The sequence below is a fragment of the Homo sapiens genome, chromosome 7 (assembly GCF_000001405.40).
Source record: "Homo sapiens chromosome 7, GRCh38.p14 Primary Assembly".
Lineage (NCBI taxonomy): Eukaryota > Metazoa > Chordata > Mammalia > Primates > Hominidae > Homo > Homo sapiens.
This window is the reverse complement of record NC_000007.14, coordinates 134,735,144-134,750,343: the sequence shown is the minus strand read 5'-3', so window position 1 is coordinate 134,750,343 and position 15,200 is coordinate 134,735,144. Positions and strand designations below refer to the sequence as shown.

Sequence of the window (15,200 nt, the reverse complement as noted above, 5' to 3'; positions counted from 1 at the left end):
AGGCTAGGACTCTGCACAGCACCTTTCTGCTTGGCCAGCAGACACCCTGTTAGGCTCTGCCAGTAGGGGGCACCAGAGAGAGAGACCACAAGCCTGGATGGAGGAAGGGACAGGGGTTCCTTGCTCCTGTTGGTGAACAGGTCTTCAGGTCACCCCAGCAATGGCAGTGCCTTCCTGAAGCAGCAACTAAATCTAGTTTGCAGGGTTTGTTTGTTTGTTTGTTTGTTTGTTTTAACACTTGCCATATCAACCTTCCAACTTGTCCCCCAAGATAGTTGGTCTGTGTCTTGGAAATCTGGGTGTAATGAGGCCACTCTTTCAAGTTCAGAGACACCAACACCAGCCCAGCAGCTTTCTGGGAGCCCTCCCTGAAGTTTCTATGGTTCCCTTATAGAAGGCGCCTGTTTACTGGGAACTGCATTCCCTAAAGCGAGTCAAGAGCCAGCTCTTTCTATGAGAGTAAGAACCTGTTTTGTGTATCCCTGAGAAACCTATGTCAGTTCTTTAAATTAAATTACAGAAATATAGTCCACCCTTCCTTGGCATCACTGAACCTTACTGCTGTTTTCTGGAACTTTGAAAAACTCTGTAGTTTTGGCGAAACAGAATTCCTTCATGGTGTTAGAATGAGCACCTGGGTCCCTGGCTCCAGGTGCATCTTGACCTTACACAACAGGCATCCCCTGAGGCGGGATCATTCCACATCCATGCCTTACCTCACTCTTCTGGCCTTGCTTTTTTTCGCTCTTTTTGCTCAGGCTGGAGTGTAATGGCGCGATCTTAGCTCACTGCAACTTCCTGGGTTCAAGCGATTCTCCTGCCTCAGCCTCCCAAGTAGCTGGGATTACAGGCATGTGCCATCATGCCCAGCTAATTTTGTATTTTTAGTAGAGATGGGGTTTCACCATGTTGGCCAGGCTGGTCTTGAACTCCTGACCTCAAGTGATCCGCCCACCTCGGCCTCCCAAAATGCTGGAATTACAGGCGTGAGCCACCATGCCCGGCCCCTGGCCTTGCTTCTTAAAGACCCAGTCCTTGCTCTGCATCCTTGAGTCACTTCTATCTTTGGTTCCAGGGCTGAGAGGTGTTCCTTTGAAGACAAACAAATAAGTCCCTTTTCTCTTTTCATTCATTGGGCCTCATTAGACTAATCTCCACTTCTTGAAATATTATTTCTCACTAGATTCCTCTTTCCAGAAAGTCCAAACTGGGTTGTCTTATTCCATTTGAGCTGCCACAACACAATACTATAAACTGGGTGGCTTATAAATAATGAAAATGTATTTCTCACAGCTCCCGAAGTCGGGAAGTCCAAACTCAGGGCAGATTCAGGGTCTGGTGAGGATCTGCTTTCTGCCTATAGACAGTGCCTTCTTGCTGTGTCCTCACATGGTGAAAGGGGTGGGGGTCTCCCTCTAGCCTTTTTGATGAGGGCATTAATCCCATACATGAGGACTGCTCTGATGACCTAATCACCTCCCAGAGGCAGTACCTCATAATACCGTCACCTTGAGGGCTAGGATTTCAACATGAATTTTGGAGGAGAAACAAACATTCAGACCATAGAATTTCACCCTTGCCTCTACCCAAATTCATGTTTGTTTGTTTTTTTGGTTTTTTTTGGGGGGCGGGGGGATGGAGTTTCACTCTTGTTGCACAGGCTGGAATGCAATGGCACAATCTTGGCTCACTGCAACCTCTGCCTTCCAGGTTCAAGCCATTCTCCTGCCTCAGCCTCCTCAGTAGCTGGGATTACAGGTGCCTGCCACCACACCCAGCCAATTTTTTGTATTTTTAGTAGAGATAGGGCTTCACCATGTTGGCCAGGCTGGTCTCGAACTCCTGACCTCAGGTGATCCACCCACCTCAGCCTCCCAAAGTGCTGGGATTATAGGCGTGAGCCAGTGCGCCCAGCCTCATATCCTTCTTGCATGCAAAATATATTCATTTCATCCCATGAGCCCTGAAGTTTTAACTCAGTCCAGCATCAATTTAAAAGTCTGAAGTCCAGGGTCTCATCTAAATGTCATCCAAATTAGATGTGGGTGAGACCGCAGGTACTATCCATCCTGAGCTGTGAACCTTTAAAATTAAACATGTTAAGTGCTTCCAAAATAAAACGATGGGACAGGCATAGGCTAGATATTCCCATTCCAAGATGGAGAAATAGTAAAGAAAGAAGTGGCAAGTTCTGCGCAAGTCCAAAATCTTAATGCTCAAGCATAATCTTTTTGGCTCAGTGTTCCACTGTCTAGGTGCTGGGGCAGAGGTCCTGCCTTGCAGACCCACTGGGATGGCAGTCCTACCTCTGCAGCTTTGCCTGCCTTCATGGCCTTGGACAGCCCTGCCACCATAGATTTTCCAGGTGTAGCCTATGGCACAGCTCTCTCTGTTTGGAGTTGAGTGCCTGCAGTTCTCCCAGATGGGAATCACATGCTAGGGGCTCTACTGGTCTGTGGTCTCTGTGGTGTCCCCACTCGCATGGTTCCACTGGGTATTGCCTTAGTGGGGACTCTCTATGGTGGCCCCACCTTTGTGGTATTTGTCTGCCTGGGCCTATGGCTTTCCAGGGCATTCTTTGTAATCCAGGTAGAGGCAGCCATGCCCCCATGGCTTTGCTGGGTGCCAAGCATGCTGCACTGGAGCCACCTAAGCTGGCCCTGGGGCAGCCACGGGGCACAGGCATGGAGTGCAGGGAGTAGAGCCCCTGATATAAGGCTGCTCTGGGCAGCGATGGCCTTCCTTTGATATTGTTCTGCACTCCAGGACCTATGATGGGAAGGGCAGCCCCAGTGATCTCCACAATGCTTTCTGAGTCATTCTTAATCCATTGTCTCGAACAATAGGTCCTGGATTTCATTTAAATTAAATTACAGAAATACATAGTCCACCCTTCCTTGGCATCACGAATCTTACTGCTGTTTTCTGGAACTTTGAACAACTCCCTCTAGGGTTGGCGAAACAGAATTCTTTCACACTGTCAGAATGAGCACCTGGGTTCCTGGCTCCATGTGCATCTTGACCTTAGTATGAAACATCCTCTGAGGCTGGATCATTCCACATCTGCACTTTATCTCACTCTTCTGGCTTGCTTTCTCAAAGACCTATTCCTTGCTCTGCATCCTTGAGTCACTTCTTCTATCTTTGGTTCCAGGGCTGAGATGATAAATGTCCCAATTATCTTGATTAATAGCACCTGGCTTCCATTGAGATGACAATCTATACTAACCTTCTTATCAAATAATCATTTGGCCACACCCTTGTTCTCTTCCACACAAGTTTTCTCATATTTTTTCAATATGAATAGACTAAGTCTTCTAAAATTTTAAGCTCTACGTTCCTTTTAATTAACAATTCCATCTTTAAATCATTTCTCTCTTCTTGCATTTTACCATGAGCAGTCAAGAGAAACCAGGCTACATCTTCAACACTTTGCTTAGAAATAGTTTCAGCTAAATATTTAATTTCATCACTCACAAGTTCTACCTTCCACAAAACACTAGGACAAGAACACAGAGAAGCCAAATTCTTTGCCACTTTAAAAATAGAATTGCCTTTTCTCTCGTTTTCAATAACATATTCCTCATTTCCATCTGAATGGCCTCATCAGAATAGCCTTTACCGTTCATATTTCTACTAACATTTTCTGTTCATGACCACTTAGGTGTTCTCTAAAAAGACTGAGGTTTTCTCTACAGCTCTCCTTTTTTCTTTCTGGGCCCTCCAGCAGTATTGCCCTTAATAGTTAGTTCACCACAATATAGGCTTTTTCTAGCATGCACCTCAAAACTCTTCCAGCCTCTACTCATTATCCAGTTCCAAAGCTGCTTCCACATTTTAAGTATTTAATACAGCAGCACCCCCACTTCTCAGTACTAATTTTTTGTCTTAAACCGTTTGGACTGCCAGAACAAAGTACCATAAACCAGGTGGCTTATAAACAACAAAAATGTATTTCTCACAGCTCTGGAGGCTAGCAAGCCAAGATCAAGGCAGATTTGGTGTCTGGTGCAGGTCTGCTTTCTGGATTACAGACAGTGCCTTCTTGCTGTGTCCTCACAGAGTGAAGGGGACAAGGGGTGTCTCTCTTCAGCCCATTCCCATTCATGAGGGAATTGGCCCTTATGATTTAGTCACCTCCCAAAGGCATCATCTTCTAATATTATCATCTTGGAGTTAGGATTTCAACATATGAATTTTGAAGAGACACAAACATTCAGACCAGAGCATGGGAGAGCATTCAAATGACAGATTCCAAGCTTTGACTCCTGAAGGCACCATTTCTGGAAATTCCAGTTAAGCTCTTCCTACTACCTTTCCCATAGGTTCTCTTCAGTCAACATGAACTAATAGCAGTGGCTTTATCGACCCACACAACCATGGTAGATAACACCATACATCACAAGTTGAGAAATAAATACCACTATCACCACAACAAAAGGGTTTCCAAAATCTTCCAAAACTCTGGGATGCTCAGCAAAAAGAACAAGAATTGCTTATCTATTAAGGCCACATCATACCTTGTATTATAAAGAACAATTGGGAGATGAAAGGCACAACTTCTGGGACATTAAAAGAAGATGAAGTATATTTTAAGTTGCTATTTCTAAAGTATAGCAAAACGACAGTTCCTCCAGAACTTTTATTAATGTAGCCAGGGAAAATTTATCAGAGAGGATAGGTCCATGAGGTGAGAGCTGAACGGCAATTGCCCCTTGGAATTTAAGTTAAATTCACCTCTCTAGCAGATGTTTTGATTTAAAATAGTTACCTTTTGTTCAGCTTAACTCTCAGCTCCCAAATCTTTCTGCTTTCAATTCTTCAAGGAAGGCACCCCTGAATACAATGCAAGGGAGGGAGTTTAATCCAGAATTCTTGAAAACAGCTTGATATTTTCAACTAAATCCAGTAGCGGAATGCAGACTTAACTGGCCCCACCCAATTTCTCCCACCCAGATATTTTTCCTTTTTGTCCAGCAAAGTTTCCTCTGTTCCAAAGGAAGAAAAGGAAGAAAAAGAAAAAATATTTGCTTAAACCATTAAACTCTAAACTAGTCAACTAATTCTGACCAAATTTAAGATGCCTGATACTGAATTGGGATGGAGAAAATAAGGGAGGTATTTATTTGATTAACTTTTTAAATGGAGTTTTAATTTTATCTTCTCTGGTAAGAACACCTAGGTTATAGGTTACTGCTGTACAGCAGAAGTGGGTTTGGATGCATTTATTTTATTAATTAAACACACACTTATTGTGTGCCTATAAGGTGCAAGGTACAGTGCTAAAATCCATGTGGAGGTACAAAGTGAAATCTATCCTAAATCTTGCCTTCGTGGAGCTTATAAATCAGTAGAAGAGATTAGATAAATGTGATTAGAGAAATTTGAACATAAATTACTATGATACGTGGCACAATTAAACACATGCCTGAAAGACATGGAAGTAAAGTTCTATGAGAGTCCAGAGAAAGGTGGGCTGCTTCTTTTCTCCAGGAGAGGCTTCCTGGAGAAGAGGCATTTCAGCTGCCCTTTCAAGAGCAAAGAGAGAAAAGCCTTCCAAGGCTCTTCAAGGAAGAGCAGAAACAAAGGGTGTAGCTAAGGAAAGGATGAGGCTCCTCTAGGGAACGACTTGCAGGTATTTATCATGGTAACCAAGCCGACTCTGCCAATGTTTGGTGAAGAATATTGCTCTAGTAAACTTACTTTAATTAGCTTACTTTAATTTTTCTTGGTTTCTGGAGGAATTCAGGTAACATCTACATATGTGATGTTACCTCCTCTGCTTTCAATATGTCCAACATTTCATACATAAAATTATTAAATTAATCTTGCTCTCTCTCATTCTTTCTGCACATGTACACACACACACACACACACACACACACACACACACGACTTCCTGATAGAAAAAAATAAAATAAATGTTTAAAACCAACTTTAAAGAGGCAAGACTTCTGATTTTCTTCATTAAATAACCAACCTGCATTTCAAGCTGCACACTAAATCCCATCAGAGACATCTAGAGGTAGACCCAGTCTTGCCTCCTGAGAATGAAGTCAAAAGATTTCAGGCCTGAGAGCAGGCTTGAATATTTCCTCAGCCACTTTACCTCCCCTAGAAAAGCGACAGTTCTGTGTAACAACACCCATTGTCTGCTTTAATAAAAATCTCTCTCATTACTACAAGCTGCTACTAGAGAAGGTTTACCATTGGCCAAGGGCTTAACCTTGAGGCCCTGTTCTTGCATCTTCTCTCCTCGGTCTTCCCCTCGACCATGGCTGCTGCAGGAAAAGAGGGGTCCGCTGTCATCCAGACCTTAACACAGCCCGCTTATTTTTAAAATGATCACAAACAACTAATCTGATTGGCTATTTTTCATTGATTGTATCAGAAGACTTCAGTGGGGAAATTAACCAACTGCTTGAGGATCATACTAAAATAGACCTCAACTTTACGCATGTGAATTCTTCTGCCCCGGGGAACAAGTAATTTCTGCTATGTGATTGTGCAAATAAACTAGATTTAAGTCTTATATTTGTGAGAAACTCCACAAGTAAAGTCATGCAAATCTCAAAAGGTGAATTCAACAAAAAGTGGACAGAAGTTAGACTACAGACACTGTCACAGATTATGTTAGGATACAGATATTTTAATAACCAGCAACACTTTTCTGATTGATTCCAAGCTAATAGTATCCAGCACATGCTGCTTATGTCTCTTTCATTAACAAAATGCTAAATTGAGTCATTGCACAGAGAACATCTCCACTTTGAAAGAGATGTTCGACAAAACAGCAAGATCACTTTACCAGGCATCAGAGGAAAGAAGTTAAGTATTTGCTGAGCTCTCAGAGAAGGAAATGAACTCCAATTCCCACCCCCCTTAGATTTGCTCAGGATTGTGAAGAGCTGAAAAACTTCAAAGTATAACAAAACTGAGGCTCGATTTTAGAAATATAAAGCATTTGGAGTAACTAATTTGGCCAAATATTTATGTTTTGGTGCATAGTTGAACTGCTTATCAGACCTTCAGGAATTCTTTGTTTTTCATTTTTGTGCTTTTATTTCCTCTCCTATCTTCTCCTCCCCTCAACAGAAGCAAAACACCCTTTGGCAATGAAAGTTGAAGATGCTTCTTCATGGAAGAACCAAGCCAGGGCCAAGGGGGCTGATCCCCAAGTTTCCGCCAACTGCACTTAAAGCAGTCATCTTCCCCTCCCACTAGCTCTCTTCTGAGAAGTGCTGGGAAATGTGGAAATCCCTAAGGCCTCCCAGGAAAGAAACAAAAATCTTTTCCTATGAGTATAAGATCTTAGATTGACTTTAAAAGGCTGCTGTAAAGGGCTGGCTTTTGTGGCTTTACAAACTGAGGCAGAAAGGTAGGCAGGGAGGGTTCCCAGGAGCCTCCATATCTGGTGGACCTCTCTTCCCACTATCAGTACTCACCAGCCTTCCCTGCCACCTCCCACAATCTCTCTGCAGTCCTAACCTTAAAGAAACAGAACACTGCTCAGGGAGATGATGCTCATTTATAAAAAAGAAGGGTAGGTGTTAGTTACACTGCTAACTTCCAGTGGAGACAGGGCAAAGGGAAGGCACTTGGACAGTCTTTGTGGGAAATTATGCTGAGATGTTCGATACTGGTAAGAAGGGCAGAGGAACCGCTGTTTCTCCTTTAATCTCCAGGCTGACCTCTGCTTTCAGGGCTGCCTGCGGTGACAAGTTCTGCATTTCCTATTAGTTTCTTCACCTTCCAGCCCTGGGGGCTGCTGAACCACACCAGAGATCCCAGGTGGGCCCCAACCAGCCCCTGCCAGCAGATCTCTACTGCTCCCAGGCTTCAAAGCCCACAGGACTTCGAGCACATTCCAAGACATTCCACAGCTGGGAGGCTGGGAGCCTGGAATGTCTGGATCCCACAGAGGGAAGGTGTCCCAGCATGCTCCCCCATCCCAACCACATTTCCCCAAAGATCTCAAAGCATTCTCCAAGGGTGATCTCATTTACTAATAGACATTTATTTCCATTTTCATCGTTACTGTTAGGAATGGCCTTCTTTTGCATGAATGTCACTTTGAGTTTTTTCACATAGCCTATCTCATGGTAAGAACATCACCTTGGGAACCAAGAACCCAGTTATTACTAAACTACTAATTGGATAACACTTAAGCCCTTTCCAGTGCACAGACTTTTGAAATTTAACAATGAAGCAGCAAGGAAATGACTGTTCCAGTTCCACCCATTGAAAGAGAAAAATGTAATGTGGGGCCAAGACATACATCACAAATGTGTGTGTCTGTGTGTGTGTGTGTGTGTGTGTGTGTGTGTATCAATACCTCATAGTGCTAGTGCTACTGCAGTTTTCAGGACTTCTATATCCTTAACTGTAGAATGAAGACAATAACACCACCTTTCAAAGTTCTTGTGATCTTGCTATAGTGACTGGAACATAGTAGGCATTTAATGAATGTTTGCTGAATAAATACCCTGATGGGTGAATAAACATAAAGTTTCAGGGTTTGTTTCCTCATCTCTTAACTTGCCACGTTTAATTCACAAGGCAATTTGGAGGATTAAAGGACATCCAGGTTTTTAAAAATGGCTTTTGAAAATAAAAAACGAACTGTAAAAAACACCAGATTATTATTGCACATGTGACTACTAGCATTGGTGCCCAGGTGTGTCAAAACCTCATGGATCTATATCTTTTTTTTAAATATGCATTGGGCACTAAAGCAACTCCCTGTACAGGGAGTAACTCTGCCTTTTTGGTTCTTTCTATAGCTTTGTTTTTATGTGTTAATTGACTCAAACCCATTAAAACTATTGAACATGAATTGAGTGCTTGAGATCAAAGAGTTTCAGAGCTAATATGGTTTGGCTGTGTCCCCACCCAAATCTCATCTTGAACTGTAGTCCCATAATCCCCATGTGTCATGGGAGGGACCTGGTGGGAGGTAATTGAATAATGGGGGTGGTTACCTCCATGCTGGTCTTGTGATAATGAGTTCTCACAAGATCCGATAGTTTTATAAGGGGCTTTTCCCCCTCTTCACTTCTCCTTACTGCTGCCATGTGAAGAAGGACGTATTTGCTTCCCTTTCCACCATAACTGTAAGTTTCCTGAGGCCTCCCCAGCCTTATGGAACTGTGAGTCAATTAAACCTCTTTCCTTTATAAATCACCCAGTCTCAGATGTGTCCTTATGGCAGTGTGAGAATGGACTAATAATACAAAGCTCAAATGGGCAGATAGCATGTGGGATAGGAGTATCAGTCCTAGAGTCCAAATGACTGATTTTTGTGCCCTGACCCCCAGATTTACTAAGGTACCTAACCTCGCTATGCCTCAATTCATCCATAAAATGGGGACACTAGTAGAATAATTTCATAGAATTGCTGTGAAGATTGAATAAGATCCATGTGTAAAGCATTTAGAGAAGTGCCTTGCACATGGTAAGAATCCAATAAATGCTAACTCCAACCATTGTTGGTGGTATTGCTATTATTATCCCTTTGCTAATGAGCTTGCAGTCTAGTGGAGAAGACAGACCATAGAACAAAGCTGGAGGAGTAGTGCAGCACGAAAAAGGTTACCAGCAGTATGCCTTGGGTGCAGAACCAGGAGACATCTTTATTCACAATCCTCATCACCTCCTCTGCGTAGTCTCTAGTTTGTCACTGTTCCAATGTACACAGAATTTAAAAATAATGTCCCAGATTCCATGTGAGGAGCACAGAGCCTAACGCTTCTCACGATCATCACACAATGCTTCCATTAATGCAGTAAGTTTGTGGAGCCATATCACACTGTTGGCTCACATGAAGCTTTTGGTCAAACAAGACCCCCAGGGCCTTTTCACATCAACTGCTGCCAAGTTGCATGTTCTCCATCCTGTATCCCTATAATTCTTTTTTGGACCTAAAAATAAGACTTTGCATTTATCCTTATTACATTTTGTGTTTTTAGTCTTGGCCCAGCATTGCAGCATGTCAAGATAATTCTAAATCTTGATTCTGTCAACTCTCTTATGTCTTTTTTTTTAATCCCCTCCAGACTTGTGTCATTGCATATTTGATCAGCATACCTACTACTTCCTCATTCAAGGCACTGATTCAAATGTTGACCAAAATGAGGCTAAGAGAATAGTCCAACAGTTCAATTGCAGAGCCCTCAGCATACTTAATTGTGTCCACTAATCATTTTGGGTATGATTGTTCAAGTAGTTTTAAATTCATTGAGAGGTATCCCTATTTCATCATTTTATTCAAAATACCTTGCTGATATGAAGTTACACTGGGTCTATGACATTCTTGAAGATTATTTTATCTGAAATGTTCCTGAAATGCTTGTATCTCCCTTAAATTTTATAAGAATATCAATTTCTACATCTAGATTATCAGTGAAGAATGTAGTGGACATCATTTAATAGGTGACTTAAGAATAAAATTATGCCATTTGATTGTTACTCTTGGACTCCAATTTGAGGCTTTAGTTTGAAGGTGCATTTGCTAGAATATTTGCCTGCCTCAACAAAGAGCCTCCAAAATCTCAGTGGCTTAAGACAACGGAAGCTTATTTCTCACTCACGTGAAGTCACATGAAGTGATCCTGATTGACAGGCTGCCTTCCATGTGTCATTAAGGAAATCTAATTTCTTCTATTTAGTGGCTTCCTTCTCCTCTTGTTCTTTGCAGTTCTAGGAAGTCAGCAGTTAATGGGGAAAGGAGACAGATGATGGCATGTGGAATGTTTTTATGGTCCAGGCCTGGGAGTAGTGCACATCAGTCACGTGACCACCCTACCTGCACGGGAGGCTGGGAAGTGCATTTCATGTATATGCCCAGCAAAACCAGAAAGTGAACAGCAAGCTTGGCTTAAAAACAGATAGAAAACATAGTTTAGGTGGGACTCACATGCTATTTCATGTTAAGTATGGTATTAAACCTGACAGTATAGGGGGTTGATGGATCAGAAGTGATAAGACCTAGGTTCTAATTCCAGGTCCATCATTTATTGGGTAAATGTAACCTTGGATAAGTCACAGAACTGTACAATTGCTAGGCTTAAGAGACTATCTTGGTCCATTTTGTCCGTTGCTAAATCCCTTTTGTTTGTGCCCATTTGTGTCACATTGTGTGGGCTGATCTCTTCCATATAGTTTTTGCTTGTTTCCCACTATAGAAAACAGACAAGCTCCAAAAACCATTCAAAGTAAAGCTCTGCCCCACTTACGTTGCTTCTATGACTTGAAGTCCAGTCACCAATGTTCCCTCCATAATTAAACTTAAGCAGCAGGCATTGAGTGCCTGTCGAGACCAGGACATGTGCTAAGTTGTGGATTGATACAACGAATCCTAAAATAAATAAAAACACTTGCACATGGTAAGAATTCAAAACTTCAGAATGAATTCAAAACTACTTGAACAATCATACCCAAAATGATTAGTGGACACAATTAAGTCTGCCCAGGGCTCTGCAATTGAACTGTTGCGCTATTCTCTTAGACTCCTTTTGGCCAACATTTGTATCAGTACCTTGAATGAGGAAGCAGTAGGTATGCTGATCAAATGTGCAATGACACAAGTCTAGAGGGGACTTTAAAAGAGACATAACAGAGTTGACAGAATCAAGATTAAAATTATCTTGACATGCCGCGATGCTGGTCCTATAGTTGAGGATCCATCTGACAGTTTTATATACCAGACAGCTCTCATCTAATTTGTTAATAAGAATTTTCAACAGCGAACAATCAAAATCTTCACTAAAACTACTAGAAAATATATTTAATTGGAGGCCAGATAATAGATGACCTTAAATGCAAGGACAGGGAATTTAGACTATTCCACACGCAACACGTGGGCTGTCAACAATTGTTAAGCCAGAAAATCTCACAGTCAAACTGAAGAAAACATAAAGCGTAGATGAAAGAACCTCTAATTCTGATGAGATGGCAGGCTGAAATCACTGGGAAACTCTGCCTTTTGTGTATGCCTAGGATTTGAGGATCAAATATAACAAAACAATTTTTTATGCAAAACTAAGATCACAGAAAGAAGGGGAAATCACAGAAAGAGAAAGAATGAAACCAAGCAAGTTAGCGTGTGAACTGATTCTCCATTTCCCGCAGAATTGGAGTGAGTCACAGAGCTTCAGATTCTGTGGAACTTGGGTTTTAATGACCACAGGAGATAAAGCATTGAGCCTGAACAAGATGGGGGTGGAAATGAGACTTCCTCATAAAGCCAACACCCTTGGAGGCCTGAACCGTCAGGGAGGATATGAACCAGAAAAAAAGAAATTTCTCAACCAGCATAGCAGGATGACACAGAAACACATTTGTCTCTCTTTGTGGAAAAAAACATCTTTCAAAATCTTTGAGAATATGAAACTCTGGACCTACTCTACATACGAATTTGGTTTTTAAAATTACCCTATTGGAATAGCCCAGAAAGTTCCAAGCCAAGAAATTAATGTAAAAACTGGTCCCTGGCTAATAATATTTTGGAATGGCTGGCAGAAGCAATTACAAAAATACTCCAGAGAGACATTCCACCATCCAGAATGCAAGGTGGTTTCACAGGAGCAAGCAAGCCCACACGAAATGAGCTCACAATAAAAGGAATTACAAAACACTGGAGGAAATAATCCATCCTGGGCAGGAGTCTGTAGATACTACTCACATTAGAATTCACGAGCACTACCTCCTGCCTCCCAAGAAACCGAGGCTCTAGAACAACAACATAAAAGATAATACAAAATAAGCATGTTTAGAATGATTGAAGACATTACAGAAGGAAAGAAATCCACAAGATAAACAATACCATGACCAAAAAAAGGCAGATTTTTTTTTAAAGAACTAAATAGAAAGTGTAGAAATAAAATGCATAGTTATTTAAACTAAGAACTTAATGGAGGCCAGGTGCAGTGGCTCATGCCTGTAATCCCAGTACTTTGGGAAGCCAAGGTGGGAGGATTTCTTGAGCTCAGGAGTTCAAGACCAGCCTGGGAAAGTTGGCAAAACCCCGCCTCTACAAAAAAAAATTACAAAAATTAGCCGGGTGTGGTGGTGTGCACCTGTAATCCTAGCTACTCAGGAGGCTGAGGTGGGAAGATCGCTTCAGCTCAGGAGGTCAAGGCTGCAATGAACTGTGATAGTGCCACTGCACTCCAGCCTGGATGACAGATCAAGACCCTGTCTCAAAACAAGTATATATGTAGTTACCATTAGCCAAATCAGATGTCATTTGCTTGAAGATATATATTTCACATATATATTTGAGATATATATCTCTCAAATACTTATCCAGATATATATACATAAATGGATGAACTAAATAGTAAATTAGATACATCTGAAGAAGAATTAGTGAACAAGAAGACCAAGCTAAAGCAACACAGTGAAGGTAGCACAGAAAAATAAAGGGTTGAAAAATTTGGAAGAGAAGTTAATATAGAAAAGACAGCATGAGAAACTTTAATGAAGTCTAAAATGATTTCTAGAAATGAAGAAAGAATGGAGCTGAGGCAATATTAGAGAAAGCAATGGCCAGAAATTTCTAATTGGATGAAAAGCATGAATTCTTACAGCAAAGATGCATAGTGAAACTGAATAGCGTATATAAAAATGTATCCAGGCCCATCCTCTCTGTGATGTACCCACCATCAAGCACTGTCAGTCTTTGTTCTCTGGGTATTTAAGGTCGTCTTGACAGTTACTATTAGCCAGATCAGATGCCACTGGCCAGATGATATTACTTAGCTTTGTTCTTTAAGGGAGAGAGAATGAGACTCATTTTGCCTATCTGTAAGAAAACATGTGATTTCTCTTTGGAGTCTCTAAGGCATGGAAGGAAAGAGAGAGGTCCTATTGCTGAGAAGCCCCATTTTGCAAAGGATCAGTCTGGGAGTCTGTAGAGTGTGGAGCTGCATGAATGAAGTGGAGGGAGCTGAGGGTGCATGTTCGTGTGTGTACATTTTTCTGTAGCTCTATACTCTTACAGACATAGGCAAGTATTCAAAGGGTTTCAATAGGCTCCCACTGACCTCAAGCCTCTATCATGAGATTTTTGAATGTCATCCTAAATGTTCAGTTATAATACACTTATTCTCTTCATTTGAGGGGGATATTTGCTTTGGATTTTGTTGTCAATGGTGATAGTTTTGAAGCAGAAAGGAACCTTTGCCTCCACTCTTTTCCTGCAATAGACACATAAAGGAGAAAGGCTTACATTCCCATTTCCCACGGAAAGCACTGTATGCAGGAAGCAATGAGGCTCCAGAAACTGTGAAAAAGATGTTTCCTTTAATAATATTGCATTTTGTCTCTCCCTATTCTTGGGTTTTAGGTATGAGTCGCTCTTACAGATTTCTGCTCAGTGTGTTGGTGGAATTTTTCCTTTTAGTAGTAATATTGTCGTTATGCAGTGAGTACTCTTCAATGTCCCCAAGGTATTTCTGCATAGGATAGTGTTTAAGGACTTTATCAAACTCCTTATAAAGTGTACCCCAGCTGGACTTTTTGGAGTTATATATCTCTACCTCCTAGCAATGTTTAATCCCAGGTAGCCACAACATTTTAGAAAAAAGTTCCAAATTCAACTTGAATGTCAATTGCCCTTACGGCAATAGGACAGTGTGTAAACCAAGTCCCAGGAGCAATACTAGAAACCTCATAGTGCTTGGAATAAGTATGTAAATTTATTTCTGCTAAGAACAAGTTCCACTGAGAGCTACACACACACACACACACACACACACACACACACACACACACACAGAGGGTAGTGGGGAGGGAAAGAAAGAGAGAAATAGCATTCCTGTAGGAGTGTTTAACTGTTATCCAAATAAGTGTGCTGTATGATACACACACACTCACCAGATTGTACGCATATATGGCATTACCACCCAAGTTTATGTTTCCAGGTTTACTTCAATATTTCACCCATACAAACTCAGTTATTCAAATATACTGAATGGTGTGTGTTAATATGCAATGAACTTTCCCATCAAGACCACTCCAAACAGATGAATGTATCTACATTTTGAATCAAGTGCTATTCAAAACTACATCAATATCAAGGCACTTCAAAGAGATACACTCATGCTGCCTCTACCTGACACCAACCATCTTAATGAAAATTGAAAACAATGAATGTCAAACACCAGTTTTCATATCCAGATACAAAGAGTCTTGGATGG

The 15,200-nt window shown here is 41.5% G+C and overlaps 1 protein-coding gene and 1 long non-coding RNA gene across 14 annotated transcripts in view, besides 1 other annotated feature; one reads left to right on the top strand and one right to left on the bottom strand.

The window, feature by feature from the left end:
* The window catches only part of LOC124901750 (uncharacterized), a 224,798-nt gene that overhangs the window by 93,541 nt on the left and 116,057 nt on the right, over nucleotides 1-15,200 (top strand). The window lies entirely within an intron of this gene.
* CALD1 (caldesmon 1) overlaps nucleotides 1-15,200 on the bottom strand; it is a 259,231-nt gene that overhangs the window by 220,386 nt on the left and 23,645 nt on the right. For 6 of the 10 annotated variants that reach the window (XM_047420865.1, XM_047420867.1, NM_001438780.1 and 3 more), the window contains exon 1: nucleotides 4,772-4,877. The exons of the other annotated variants lie outside the window; for them this stretch is intronic. The gene's annotated coding sequence lies outside the window, so the exon portion shown is untranslated. Of the gene's footprint in view, nucleotides 1-4,771; nucleotides 4,878-15,200 lie in introns of those variants that run through there. 10 annotated transcript variants of the gene reach the window in all.
* Nucleotides 7,561-8,214: an enhancer, noted in NCBI's record as "NANOG-H3K27ac hESC enhancer chr7:134426881-134427534 (GRCh37/hg19 assembly coordinates)". NCBI's record gives its function as "activates a minimal SCP1, AML or CMV promoter by ChIP-STARR-seq in naive H9 embryonic stem cells {active_cell/tissue: H9 hESC(naive)}" and the evidence as "EXISTENCE:reporter gene assay evidence [ECO:0000049][PMID:30033119]".